The sequence below is a fragment of the Homo sapiens genome, chromosome 6 (assembly GCF_000001405.40).
Source record: "Homo sapiens chromosome 6, GRCh38.p14 Primary Assembly".
Lineage (NCBI taxonomy): Eukaryota > Metazoa > Chordata > Mammalia > Primates > Hominidae > Homo > Homo sapiens.
Window position 1 is genome coordinate 149380745 of NC_000006.12, and position 15522 is coordinate 149396266.

Genomic DNA, 15522 nt, shown 5'->3' on the forward strand with positions numbered 1-15522 from the left:
TAACATCACCCTCAGGCAGCATGCAGCCCCTACTGTCACTAATATCCTCATCCTTTTTTACATTTCTGATACAGTGATTTTACTGCTGAGTCTCTTAGGGGGTCCTAATTGCTTTGCCTTATTTTATGTTTTAAACAGCTACACTAGTGATTCTTAGTCCAAGCTGGGTTGTGGTCCTTTCGAATTCCAGTATCATTCATGGAGCTTTAAAAAATCAGCTGGGCACAGTGGCACCCGCCTGTAGTCCCAGCTTCTCAGAAGCTAAAGTGGGAGGACTGCTTGAGCCCAGAAGTTTGAGGTTGCAGGGCACCACTGCACTCCAGCGTGGGCAACATATCGAGATCCCTATCTCAAAAATAAAGTACGCAGGGCTCTGCCCAAACTTAAGTAAAGTGAATCCTAGGTATGCGTGTGCATGTATTTGTGTGTGTGCATTTTAGGGGTACATGAGTGATTTCAATTGCCCTAGAAATTGTGTTAAAACTTTTATTTTCCATATATCTGTGATTAACTACAACCATTTTTGTTTAGTTTCAGCAGTTTATAAATGTTATATGCTATTATTTTTTCCACTTACAACTTAATTCTCCTCTTCTCCCAAAGTCACCTTCTCTTCCTGTCCTTCCATCAAAACATCAGGTTTCCTATGGTTGGATAGTTGCTGATTCTTAAGTAGCAAATTTTTTATGAAGATAATTTGATAAGGGAAATTTTCAAGTAAAGTAGGCATTCATATTTAGTGATATTAAAAAGATATTCATGTTTAACTAGAATGTGAAAATAAAGTGTTTCTTAAACTTGCTATCTTCAATTCCCCTCCTATTCTTTTTTTTTTTTTTTTTTTTTTGGGACAGGGTCTCGCTCTTTCGTCCAAATTGGAGTGCAGTGGCATGTTCACAGCTCACTTCAGCCTCAACCTCCTGGGCTCAAGTGATCCTCCCACTTTAGCCTCCCTAGTAGCTGGACTACAGGTACACACCACCACATCCAGCTAACTTTTTGTATTTTTTTGCAGACAGGGTCTCCCTATGTTGCCCAGGCTGGTCTTGAACCCCTGGGCTCAAGAGATCTGCCTGTCTCAGTCTCCCAAAGTGCTAGGATTACAGGCGTGACCTCCACACCTGGCCTGTGACTTCTTACTTCCCCCATCATCACTACTGTGGTCTCAGCAATCATCACCTTTCAAATGGATTATTGCAGTGACCTACCCATTCTCGTCCTTGCCTCCTTGCAGTCTTCTTTCAACTCAGCATCCAGGGAGATACTGTTAAAAATATGCATCAGATCATATCACTTCTCTGCACATGATCACTATCTATTGCACTCAGAATAAAAGCTATGAAGCCCTACAGGATGAGCAGCTTCTCCCCCCAGCTCTTTTCCTTTTGCTTACCACCTGCTCACTGTGTTCCAGCCCTCCTGGCCTTCTTACTCTCTTCCTTAAACATAGAAGGCAAACTTTAGGGCCCTTTTATTTGCACTAGTATTATTTTTTAGACTAAAACATTGAAGAACAGATAGATTAAGTAACTTGTCAAAGGACAAGTGGCAGAGTCAAAATTCTAACTAGAGGCTGGGCACGGTGGCTCACGCCTGTAGTCCCAGCACTTTGGGAGGCCGAGGTGGGTGGATCACAAGGTCAGGAGTTCAAGACCAGCCTGGCCAACAGGGTGAAACCCCATCTCTACTAAAAAGACAAAAATTAGCGGGGCGTGGTGGCAGACGCCTGTAATCCCAGCTGCTCGAGAGGCTGAGGCAGGAGAATCGCTTGAGCCCGGGAGGCAGAGGTTGCAGTGAGCCGAGATCATGCCATTGCACTCCAGCCTGGGTGACAGCAAGACTTTGTCTAAAGGAAAAAAAAAAAAATTCTAACTAGGAAGTTAGAGAAGCCCACAATGTTAACCACTATCATATAATGTCTTTCTTTCCAGATTTTCATAATAAACCCTCTGGAAAGATATTTTAAGTGTATCTTGTAGCTTCACTTATAGCCCATGGTACAACACTGTGGGGGCCACATGTGCCTCAATTTGAGAGGGATGTAGCTAAAAAACCATTAATTAAAAAAAGGCAACCATAGGGAAAGATAACACAGTAAATAGATAACAACAAGTAGAAATAACTTAAGGCTGGGCATGGTGGCTCATGCCTGAAATCCCAGCACTTTGGAAGACCGAGGCGGGTGGATCACAAGGTCAAAAGATCAAGACCATGCTGGCCAACATGGTGAAACAACATGGTATCTACTAAAAATACAAAAATTAGCTGGGTGTGGTGGCGTGCACCTGTAGTCCTAGCTACTCAGGAGGCTGAGGCAGGAGAATTGCTTGAACCTGGGAGGCAGTGGTTGCAGTGAGCCGAGTTTGTACCACTGCACTTCAGCCTGGCAACAGAGTGAGATTCCGTCTCAAAAAAATAAAGAAGAAAAAAAAAGGAAAGAAAGAACTCTAAACAATAAAGTAACACCCTGGATAGAAGTAGAGAGCACTTTCAGAGGACACCTGAAAGTAAAAATAAAAAAACTTTCTGATGAGAGAAGTCTGTGGTTTGAGAGCTTAAATTAAAGCCTACCAAGAAAGCAGGTTTCTCCAGAATCTGCCCCTCAAATTGCTTAACAGCCTTCGGACAGCTCTAACAACCTTGATGGAGGTTAAAGCTCTAACAACCTTTAAACATACCTACATACATACAGAATTTTATAACATTTGTTTGACTACATAGTTTTGCATTATCTGTGTGTGCACACTGTTTTGGGATTGGTACTGTTCTCCAACTTTTCTTCTCCTTGTTTCTGTTTACTATGGAACTGGTATTGATCCAGATTGACCTATCACCCAGTAACACAGTCTTTTTTTTCTGAGATAGAGTCTCACTGTCATCCAGGCTGGAGTGCAGTAGCACGATCTCAGCTCACTGCAACCTTCACCTCCCGGATTCAAGCAGTTCTCCTGCCTCAGCCTCCCGGGTAGCTGTGATTACAGGCACATGCCACCACGCCCAGCTAGTTTTTGTATTTTTAAGAGAGATGTGGTTTCACCTTGTTGGCCAGGCTGGTCTCGAACTCCTGACCTCAGGCAATCCGCCTGCCTCAGACTCCCAAAGTGCTGGGGTTACAGACGTGAGCCACCGCACCTAGCTCAGTGACACAATCTTGATCTAGTGTTTCATTCACTTAATTCAAGACAAAGGAGGCCTTTGCTGGAAAATGCATCTTTTCTGCTTTTACCCTACATAGTTCACAGACACTCTCTGCAGTTACTAAACGGGGTGGCCTGAGTAATCCTGATCTTTAAGCAAGGATCTTTTCTAAACTCTGAGTGGTATGGGTAAGAAAAAGAAAAGAAATATCTCGGTCTTCTGCAGTGAAATTGATTTTTCTAATGCTCCTGGAAATACTGTTTTAGAGTAGAAAAATAAGTGGAGCCAGGCACTAGAATCATAGGAAAATACTTTTTCCAAATTGAGAAGGGAACATACGTACATACATAAATTTGGTAACCAAAATGCATTTTTTCTTTTTTCTTTTAATCTACCATTTGAAATCTAAAATACTGTGATAAAAACTGTCAAAAGTGAAAATTTGTTTATGAAAGGTATATTGTTTAATACATCCTCTACTATAGAGTGATCAGAAGCAAAAGAAGTAAATTAATGAAACATCAAGACCCCACTCATCTCAGCACTAAGTCTGTCAGCACCACCATCCTTCCTAAAGGAAATAAATTAAACTTGATTCCTTAAGGTACTACAGGAATCAGAGACAAAAGTGGAAAGAACAAATTAAGGTTGGAGAGAAATTTTCAGTTTAAAGTTTATAGATATGAAGAAAATTCTTATTTTACCCATTAAGAACAAATACAGAAGTGAAATTTTCTTACTGGTAGTCAGTGGTCAGATATAGCTACATTTTCCCCTTAAGTCATACCACCCAACTCTAGCTTCCAAAAAATGTTGAAAACTATCATTCAGCATATTCTGAGACATTCTAGTGTCTTCATAGTGGTATACCTGTTGTAACACTGGCAACTTTTATAGGTATGGAGGACAAAGCATTCCAACAAATTTTCATGGTGGAGAGAAAAAGGCCTACTTTCTTATTTTGTTACAGAAGCCAGAAACTCTTAAAAAAAACTAACATTGCTGCCAAATACAATTTCCACACAACTCCATCTGTGGTATTGACTTAGCTGGTAAACTTTTTATTATTTAAAGAAAAAAAATTACATATATAAAATGATAAATATTTTTAATGATACTTTAATATGGTTTTTCCTCAGTTATGTTTAAAGTCCTACCATAGTGTTAAGCAGTAGCCTTGACTTTGAACCTAAAATAGAAATACAAGTAAGAAAAATTATGAGTTGAAAATTAGCTTCTTGGACTTTGTGTTTCTCATTCCTTACCATTTTTCACTAGTACATCTATCCAAATCACAACACGTTTCTTTTTAATGAGATTTAATAAAAAATGTTTATTGTGGCACAAATTCAATGAGCAAGATACTCTTCAAAAGGAAATATAATTTTATTTAGTTCAGATTCTAAAACTTGTACTTTGTTTAACTTTATGTATCTTTTCATTGGAAATACCTTTTTGTTATTCTTTGTTGACATTGAAATCACTTTATTAAATAAAAGCCTACTGCAGTAGCACATGCCTGTAGTTCGAGCTACTCGGGAGTCTGAGGCAGGAAGACTGCTTGAGTGCAGGAGTTCAAGACCAGCCAGGGCAATGTAGCAAGACTTTGTCTCTAAAATAACAATAATAAACTCAGCAATTAAGATTAGTTGACATTGGACCACTTACAGAATATTTTTTTCAAATTAGCCCTACTACTTGTAGGTTCCTCCCAGTCTTAAGACTAAATACCTTTTTAATTTGGGGTAAATGTCAGAATTGGAAGAGACTTTAAAGGGCATGAAGAATTCTACTCCAAAGGTTATCCAGTCCACGTACCCATCCAGCCTATCAAGTGTAAATCCTTTCTGTACTTTAAATTCTTATGAGACACAAACTGCCTCCTAAGGTAGCATATTCTGGTTTTGGAGAGCTCTACCTACTAGCTGGTTATTTCTTACATTAAATTAATACCTTTAAAAAGTATTATGAAAATAACACACTCAGTAAAAGAAATTTTAAAAAACAAATGCAATAAAAATGTGTTTCTTTTCAACCTTTGACTTGTCACTTCCTCCAGCTTTTCCCTTATTTAACTGTGAGAGGTATTCTCTATTAGCAGTTACTTATCCCCTTCCCATTAGATTCACTCAATCCCCTTCCCATTATATTCCCCTTCCCATTATATTCATTCCCTTTATATTCACATACACATACGTGTGTGTATATATGTGTATACACACACTGTTCTTAAAGCAGGAACACACTATACACATGGGTCTGTGAACACACGGGATTATATAATATGCACATACTCTACAATATGTCTGACATTCACTAAATGAGAACAGTACACTTTCTTAAATATATTAAGTTACGTAAATCTATTATTCTTTAAAATTTTTTAATGTTTAGTCATTATTTTAACAGCTTTATTGAGATATAGTTAATATACATGCAGTTGACTTATAGTATACATCAGTTTTTAGTTTATTCACTGATATGTGCAGCCATCACCCAGCCAGTAGAACACTTTCATCTCCTCTACAGGAAACCTCATATCCTGTAAGCTATCACCTCCCTATCCCATTACCCCCCACCCTCACTCAGCACTAGGCAACCACTAATCTACTTTCTTTCTCGATAAATTTACATATTCTGGACACGTGATATAAAATGGAATCTGATCTTTCATGACTCATCTATGGTATAGCAGCAACATGTTCTTTCCTTTTTATGGCCAAATATGCCATTATATAAATACACTGCATTTCATTTATTCATTCATCAGTTAATAGACATTTTGTTTTTTTCCACCTTTTCAGCAGTGGAATTGTTGCCATACTGTTTTCCAAAGTGATTTGTATTCTCACCAGCTGTGTGTGAGGGTTTTCATTTCTCCCCATTTTCAACAACGCTTTTATCTGACTTTGTGTTACTTGCCATCCTAGTGGCTGCAAAGTATTTAATTGTGATTTTGATTTGCATTTCCCTATTGGCTAATGATGTCAAGCATCATTTCATGTGCTTACTGGCCATTTGCATATTTTCTTTGGAGAAATGCCTATTCATATCCTTTGCCTACTTTTAAATTAGGTTATTCATCTTTATTGTTAAGTTGTATGAGTTCTCTGTATATTCTAGAAATAAGTCCCTTCCATGATTTGCAATTTTCTCCCATTCTGTGTATTGTCTTTCACTTTCTTGATGGTGTCCTTTAAGCACAAGTTTTTTATTTGGCTGAAGTCCAAACTCTATGTATTTTTTCTTTTATTGCTCTTGCGTTTGGTGTCCTAAGAAACAGTTTCTAACTCTGAGGTGAGGTCATAAAGATTTACCCCTATTTTTTCCTCCTAAGAGTTATATAATATTAGTTCTTATATTCTAGTCTTTGATCTTTCATCCATTCTGATGCAATTTCTATATCATGGCATGAAGTAAGAATCCAACTTCATTCTTTTGCATGTGGCTATCCAAGTATCCCAGCACCATTTGTTGAAAAGACTTTTTCTCCTCATTGAGTGATTTTGGCACCCCTGTAAAAAACCAGTTGACCATAAATGCGTGGGTTCATTTCTGGACTCTCAATTCTTTTCCATTGTTCTATATGTTCTTTATGCCAATACCATATGGTCTTAATTACTGTAATTATTTTATTATTAAATTGGGACATGTGAGTTCTCCTGCTTGGTTCTTTTTCAAGATAGGCTTGGCTATTTAGAGTCTCTTGAAATTCTAAGTAAATTTTAGAATCAGTTTGTCAATTTCTACATAGAAGTCAACTGGAATTCTGATAGGAATTGCATTAAAATATTTTCCTACATACTTGCTTTTTTAAAAAACTGAAAACAGAACTAAAGGGTATATAATGAAAAATTCCCCTCACTAGAGATAACTAGTTTCTCAAACAGTTCATTTTGTATTCTTCTAGGATTATGTCTCTTTTTTTTGTCTTTATCTCTTTGAGAGAATTCCATGTCAGCAGGATCTGCTTTTTAAGAAATGGCTGCATAGTATTGTGTACCATAATATCTAACCAGTCCATTCTTGATAGACCTTAAGTAGTTGCTAATCTTGTTTTTATGAACAGTGCTGCAATAAAAATCCTTGTGTACACATAATTGTACCCATGTCCAAGTATCTTGGCAGACTGTGAGATTACTAGGAGTGAAACTGCTGTGTCCAAGGATATATGTGTTTTTAATTTTGATAGATGTATCATTTAGGCTTGGTTATGTTGCAGTAACAAACCATGTCTTAAAAACAACTAAGATTTATTTCTAGCTCACATTTCCTGTCCCATATAGATTAGCTGGTGGCCTCTGTTCTCCATCACCCTCACCAAGGGACCCAGGTTAAGGGAAGCTCCATCTCTGTGCTTCCATGACCAAGGAAACATAGTGGGTGAGCAGTGGCTCCTTAAGCCTCTGCCTCAACGCATGTTACTCTGTAGCTAAAACAAAGCACACAGCCACACCTAATTCAGCAGGAACAGGGAGGCACAGTTCTACCACATACCTGGGAGACAGAGAGCCAGAAGAATGTGGGGAAGGACACTAATGACTGCCAATAAATGTTGCCAATTTCAATTTTGAGGCTCTCTCTAAAGAGATTTTACCAGTTTATGCTCCCATACTTACAAATGGGTAACATTTTTGGTAACATTTATAAGAATATTCTTTCCTCCTTCCTTTCCCCACTCATCATATTTTGTAGGTGGTTGAAAAAAGTATTATCTAGTCAGTTTAATAGGTAAAAATATATTGTTGCTTTAGGTTATTTAAATTTTCATCTTTTTCTTGGGAGCTTAATTTGCATATTTAAATACGATTGAGGTTGAACATCTTTTCATGTGTTCTTTTTCCAGCCATTTGTATTTCTCACCTTATGAACTTGCCTATTTCTGTAAAATGCCTATTCTTTCTACTTTGTTACTACCTTTTAGTTAGTCAATAAAATTTTTCTGCCTTATAAATTTTTTACTTTTACATATTCAGACTTCTCAGAATTTCCTCTTATGGCTTCTGGGTTTTGTGTCTTATTTAGAAAGCCTTTCCATATTCCAAGATTTTGAAAAAAGAATAACAGAAATCTTTTTTTTTTTTTTTTTTTGAGATCGAGTCTTGCTCTGTCACCCAGGCTGGAGTGCAGTGGTGCAGTCTCGGCTCACTGCAACCTCTGCCTCCCAGGTTCAAGCAATTCCCCTGCCTCAGCCTCCCCAGTAGCTGGGACTACAGGCATGCACCACCACGCCTGGCTAATTTTTGTATTTTTAGTAGAGATGGGGTTTCATCACGTTGGCCAGGATGGTCTCAATCTCTTGACCTCATAATCCACCCGCATCGGCCTCCCAAAGTGCTGGGATTACAGCTGTGAGCCACTGCACCCAGCCCCAGAAATCTTACCGTTATTTTCTCTTTAGTATTACCTTGAAACCATATTGAACTGGTCTCATGGCATCCCTTCAAAACTTGAACATATCCTCTTTTAAATTGTAAATCTGGCCAGGCATGGTGGCTCATGCCTGTAATCCCAGCACTTTGGGAGCCCGAGGCGGGTAGATCACCTGAGGTTGGGAGTTCGAGACCAGCCTGACCAACATGGAGAAACCCCGTCTTTACTAAAAATACAAAATTAGCTGGGTGTGGTGGCACATACCTGTAATTCCAGCTACTGGGGAGGCTGAGGCAGGAGAATCACTTGAACCTGGGAGGTGGAGGTTGTGGTGAGCCAAGATCACGCCATTGCACTCCAGCCTGGGCAACAAGAGTAAAACTCTGTGTCAAAAAAAAAAAAAAAAAAAAGGTATAAACCTTTCTAAGCCATAATCACTCCCACGTCGCATAATGACTCATCCAAGTTATATTGTTTTGAGGCTCTTTTGGTGCATCTAGGCCTGTTTTCATTCTGTCTAAAATAAAAGTTTTAGATTATATCTTAATGCTGTAAGATTACATGCAGAATCTTAATTATGTAAAATAAAGGCCAGCAAATTATTATCTAGCAAGAGGTCTCACCAGTTATGCTAAAATGACTAAAATTCATCTCTTAGTAGGTTCTTAAAAATAATTACAGAGATTAAGCATCATTCCTCATACTTTTATTTTACATCTATTGCCCAAATTATGGGCCCAATTGCAGCACTGTTACAAGATCTGATTTCAAATTGCCTTTAAAAATGACAAAATAGTTTAAAAGTTTGCTTTAAAGTTATAATTGCCATCTTTGAATCTTTTATGACTCAGTCACCAAATAAGTGACTATGGTAATACAGTGATATATAAAACAGATGTGATTCCTGTTGTCAACAAAGTTACAGCCTAGAAAAATCTTGATTTATTTTAGAAGCTGACATTGTACTTTCCTAGGTACAATGACTTAAGTATGACTTAGGCTTGTTCCTGATTTAGACATGTAAAATTGTCATTACAGACAAAAAACAAAAAGATACCAGAAGTAAGTACCTATTAGGTTTTTCAATAGCAAAATTTTTCCTTTTTCATTTAAAGAAGCCTAAAATCTTTGTATCTACAAGTCCCTAGTATATTTTCCAATGACATATGTCTTTTCTCAGTAAGCAAATTCTCGTGTTTTTGTTTTTAAACTTCTGGAGAAATTTGACATTATTTACAGTAAAAAAATAACTAAAATTAATAAAACTAACACCATCTGGAACTTCAAGAGTGTTTTTTAAATTTCAAATAAAATTGAGTAACGAAGAAATTTTCTCCATTGTTCGTGAGCTAACAAAAGTTGGGTAAGTACTGAGCTTTCTGTATAAACCATTTAGAATGCTTATAGCAGTGGTTTAAGAGCCCTGGTGCTTGAATTCACTTAGTACTCACTTATTTTTAACAACAACTAAGAGAGAGTTGCATGCTTAAATTACCTTTATCCATTAAAATTTAACTTTGAAAGAGGATTTAAAAGATACTGAATATTTTTTTCTTTACCTGTAATTCCTTCATCATCTGTTCACTGCAAAGCCCAGTCATTTATCTGTTTTCCTTGGAATTTTTAATTTTTGTTGTTGTTGTTCTCTGCCTTTATCATATCCTTTCAGCATCTCCAAGATACCATCTGTTCATTTTTCCTGGAGTCTTCTCTTCCCTGTTATAAATTACAGTCGCCATTCTTGGATCTTATATTATCTTCCTTCTTGGTTTATGCCTTCAATTTGCTAGAACATGTCTTTAAGTATTTTCCTAATGAGACTTGGGAGGTAAATTCTCTTAAGTCCTTAAATATCTGGAAATCCCCTCATATTTTTAGCTGGACATAGAATTCTTGGTTGAATATCATTTCTCCACAGAAAAATGTAGTGATTTCCTTATCACTGAGGAAATCTGGTGTCAATATGATTATTGTACCTTTGTATGTAATCTACTTTTTTTTCTTTCTGGAAATTTTTAAGATCTTTCTTTGTCTTTAGTAGTCTGAAATTTTACAATGGTGTAGGGGTTTTTTTTAATCATCCTGTCCCACATTTAGTGGACTCCTCCATTTTAGAGGCTAGTGTCTCCCTTCAGCCCTGGGAAATTCTTTTCTGATCCCCACTATGGTTTCTCCATTGTCTCCTTCTAGACCTCCTCTTGTTTAGCTATTTAATATCCTGAACGAGCTTTCTATCTATTTCTCGTTACATCTTCAGTATATTTCACGTCTTTGTCTTTCTTGGGGGTATCAGGGACAGGGGCAGGGGCAGGGTGTCACGGTTGCCCAGGCTGTAGAGTACAGTGGTGCTATCTCAGCTGACTGTAGCCTCGACCTCCCAGGCTCAAATGATCCTCCCACCTCAGCATCTGGAGTAGCTGAGACTACAGGCGCGCGCCACCATGCCTGGCTAATTTTTTAATTTTTTTGTAGAAACAGCATCTCCGTTTGTTGCCCAGGCTGGTGAAACTCCTGGGCTCAAATGACTCTCCCTCCTAGGCCTCCGAAAGTGCTGGGATTACAGGCATGAGCCATCATACCCGGCCCCTCCTTGTCTTTCCATTCTACATTTTAGGAGATTTCCTTAAATTTTTTTCCGACTCACATATGAAATTTTCATTTTGGCAGTGATGTTTTTAATTTCCAAGAGCTAGTTCTCTGATTCCTTTTCGAGGAAGGTTGTTGTTTTATGGGTACAATAGTGTCTTAAAATCTCTTAATGATATTAATCAGAATTTAAGTTCTCGTCTCTCTGCTATGTTGTCTTCACTTAATCTGGATTTAGTTTTTTTCTTTGTTTATGCAGACCTTTCACATTCATATCAGATTTTATTTTTTTTTGGCAGGGGGCGGGGGGGCGGGGGTGGACAGAGTCTCACTTTGTCGCCCAGACTGGAGTGCAGTGACACAATATCAGTTCACTGCTACATCCACCTCCCAGGTTCAAACAGTTCTCCTGCCTCAGCCTTCTGAGTAGCTGAGATTACAGGCACGCGCCACTACCACCTGGCTGATTTTTGTATTTTTAGTAGAGATAGAGTTTCACCATGTGGGCCAGGCTGGTCTTGAACTCCTGACCTCAAATGATCCACCTGCCTTCATATCAGATTTTCTTCAACTATGAGGTGATCCTTAAACCTACAGCTACCTTCCCTTTAGGATGGAGAGAAGTTGACTGTTCGATATACAGATAGCTACTTAAGCCTCTGTGTTCTGGCCCTTTCCTAACTCCTGCCTTCTGTTGTTACCTGCATTTTCCAAAGTCAAGGTTTCTGCAGGGCAGATGAGTTGCCATTTTGTCTACAGCACCCTCCTTGTCCATGAGACTTCAGCTTTCTCCACTCCTTCATTCAGCTGTCATTTCATCTGCTTCTAGCCTTCCAGAAACTTGTTGACTTCTGTTGTGAGTTAATTGCCTTCTTTTTCTTAATTGTTGGTGGATTGTACCTTTTTCATTCATACCTCATTTTTATGGGGTTTCAGGAGACAGAAGATTTTTTCATTTAGTGGAGGCTAATTAGAGCAAAAGTGTCTCTGCTGTTTAATGATCTACTAACATTGTTTCATAATGAGTCTAATCACATTGTTTCATAATGGACAAATATTGGGTGTTATTTTGTAAACTCAAGGTTAAACTTGCAGACAAAACTCACAGCTAGAGAAGAGTTTCGACTTTAGCTGAATTTTTACAGCGATTTTTAGAAATTCACTTTGACCCCTTTTTTCCCTGTAGTTCATCTTTCTCAGATTCCTATCTAAAAATCTCAAACCACAAATGAAAAGTGAACTAAACACATAAAAATTCAGCCACTTAGAAGAAAAAATTGCTAAGAAATAGAGAACCACTTTCCTAGTATATTCATAGCATTTTTAGTTTGTTTATAACAGCCATACCTAGACAAGTCAACCAACTAGGTATGTCATTTCTAAGTAATATAGTCATTATAACTCTAAAATTTTGTTTAAAGTGGAAAGAAATGCCTCATAAATAAGTTGTAAGTAATTGTAAATGGATTTGCAATATTTTACTTTAGAGCTTCAGACTAATCATAAGAGATACTTTGCCTTTATTCTCAGAGGTAAGCCACATCTTCAGCCATTGCAAAACCCCTTTGTGAATTTCTAAGGATGCAATACTTATTCAGAAATATTCTGAAGAATTTACTCTTTAACCTCAAAACACCTCACAACCATATGTGTAGCAACTGTGGCTCTTTCAAGTCTCCTAAATCATCATTGAATCAGATTTCTGCCTGCTGTTAAAGTCTGTCTCCTACTAATATTGGCCTTCTGTGTATCTCTCAAACTCTATGATTTACTTGCTTGTTTTGATAGAAACATTAGGAATATGGGATTGGGGATTGCTGGTGGAGCTGTGACTGGGAGAATGCTCAACCTTATCCTGGAATGTATACTTTATGATGTATTTGTTGGAAAATAAATTAGATTATTTTTATGATTTTCCATGCAGAGTTGCATACTAGCATTTTTTCCTTTTATCATTAAGTAAAGAACATCTTTATCTCATATGTTTTGCCCTAAAGTCAGATTTTTTTCTGAAATAATTATATGAAATTTTTCTAGCTGCCCTCAAGATTTTCTTTCTTTGGTTTTCAGCACTTTGACTGTGATGTGTCTAGGTGTTTTGTTTTAGCATTATTTGGTGATCTATGGGCTTCTTAGATCTGTGATTTGTTGTATTTCATTAATGTTGGAAAATTTTTGGTCTTTATCACCTCAGATATTTCTCCTGCCTTTTTCTCTCCTCTTTTGCCAGTTACACATAGACTGATACTGTTCTGCAACTCTTAAGTTTTTTTTGTTCTTTTTTTCACTTGTTTCTTGGTGTGTTCAGTTTGGGTAATTTCTGTTGTCAAGTTCACTGATTCTTCTGTGTCCAGTGTGTTAAGTCTGTCCAAGGAATTCTTTATCTCTGATAAGAATTTTTTATTTCTAGCCATATTTTTTATTTCTAGCATTTGACCCTTTCATGATTTCCACCTCTCTCCTCAAATTGTGAATCTTTTTTTTGCATGCTGTCCACCTTTTAAACTAGATCCTTTAACATATTAATCATAGTTACATCTTTAAGTTTTCTGTCAGGTAATTCCAGCTGCATCATCTTTGAGTATAGTTCTGTTGATCACTTTATCTCTTGATGATGAATTACATTTTTCTCCTGCTTGTATGTCTCATAATTTTTTATTGAATGCCACACACTATGTGTAAAGGAACAGAGGAGACTAAAGTAAATGGTATTTGCACCCAGAAATGAGGACATCTCTTTTTCTTTCAGGTTATTATTATGAGGCATTGCATCAATTTAGTCAGGAGTGGAGCTGGGTTTGGGTTTTGTTGTTGCCTTCAGTGCACCACAGTCTTCAGATACTTCCAGCAATTGACTGCTATTACTTTATGCTTCTTAGAGTAGTGCCTGAAGTGCAAGATATTTATTTTGAGTCCTTTTATTTTGAACCTGTCTGTGCTATGATAGATCCCCATTTTATTCAGAGTCCTTAATATGGTCAGCAAGGCTCTACGTGATCTGGTAGAGGGCCAGATAGTAATCATTTAGGATTTTGTAGGCCACATAATCTCTGTCACAACTATTTAATTCTGCTGTTGTAAAATGGAAACAGCCATAGACAACAAGTAAACAAATGAGCAAGGCTGTATCCAATAAAACTTTAATGACGAAACAGGCAGTGGGCTAGATTTGGCCCATGGGCCATAGTTTGCCTACCTGTTTACCCTTTGTTTAGAGTCTTTCTCTTGCCCTACTCCCTGGCCCCAATCTCTGCTACCGTGGTAACGTGAGCTCCGCAAGGGCAAGGATTTTTTCCTATTTTGTTCATGGACTTCCAAAATGCCTACAACAACATCTGACACATAGACCCTCAACTTATTAAAATAATAGATAAGTTAATTATGTTTTGAGTGTTTTTTATAAGCAGCATATAGCTGAGGTTTTACAATTCAGTCTACTGATCTCATCTCAACAGATATGTTTAATTAGGTTGCATTCATTGTGATTTCTAGTATATTTGGAATTATCCCTGTCTGGTTTTTGTTTTGTATTTCTTTCCTTTATCCCCTCCTTTCCTGCTATCTAGGTTTAATTAAATTTCCCTCATTTCTCCTTAGGTTCTGTCTTTGAATTTAGAAACTGCACATTCTGTTTTAACTTCCTTTAGCACAGATCCCTAAATACTGAACATGTATATTTGGCTTAGCAACATTTAACTGTATTCTTCTTAAATACCTTCAAGACCTTAGAATACTTCACCTCTGATTTTTGCACTTCCAGTGTATTGTTATTCTTTTCCAATGTTTTATTTTCACTTTGTTTTAGACAATGTCTGCTGCTCCCCTGCCCTGCCATAGTCTTTTCCTTTGTTTTATTGTCAGAGCTTTTTTTTTTTAGATTTACTCATCTTATTCCATTCTTTTGTGTTTAATTTCCTTCTTATCAGAACATATATTGAGTAGTTATTTCAGCAGCTATCTGTGATTGTTGAATTTCCCCAGACTTTGTTGGAAATACCTTTATTCATTTGTATTCTTGTATAATTTAATTAGGTGAACAAATTATTTTATCTTCTAAAATTTGTTACTTCCTTTTTTCCCTTCAATTTTGAAACATTTTCAGCCAATATCTCTTCACATCTTGCCTCTTGTCTATTCTCTCTGTTGTCTCCTTCTGGAATTCTTTTCTCTCTCTGTCTCCCCCTACCCGCCCCCGAGTTGGAGTCTCACTCTGTCATCCAGGCTGGAGTGCAGTGGTGTGATCTCGGCTTACTGCAACCTCTGCCTCCCGGGTTCAAGCAATTCTCCTGCCTCAGCCTCCCAAGTAGCTGGGATTACAGGCATCCACCACCACGCCCGGCAACTTTTTGTATTTTTAGTAGAAACGAGGTTTCACCATGTTGGCCAGTCTGGTCTCGAACTCCTGACCTCAGATGATCCACCCTT

At 37.5% G+C, this 15522-nt stretch overlaps 1 protein-coding gene across 12 annotated transcripts in view; it reads left to right on the forward strand.

Annotated features, from left to right (window-relative positions):
- TAB2 (TGF-beta activated kinase 1 (MAP3K7) binding protein 2) overlaps positions 1-15522 on the forward strand; it is a 193682-nt gene that overhangs the window by 162819 nt on the left and 15341 nt on the right. The gene's annotated exons all lie outside the window — the stretch shown is intronic.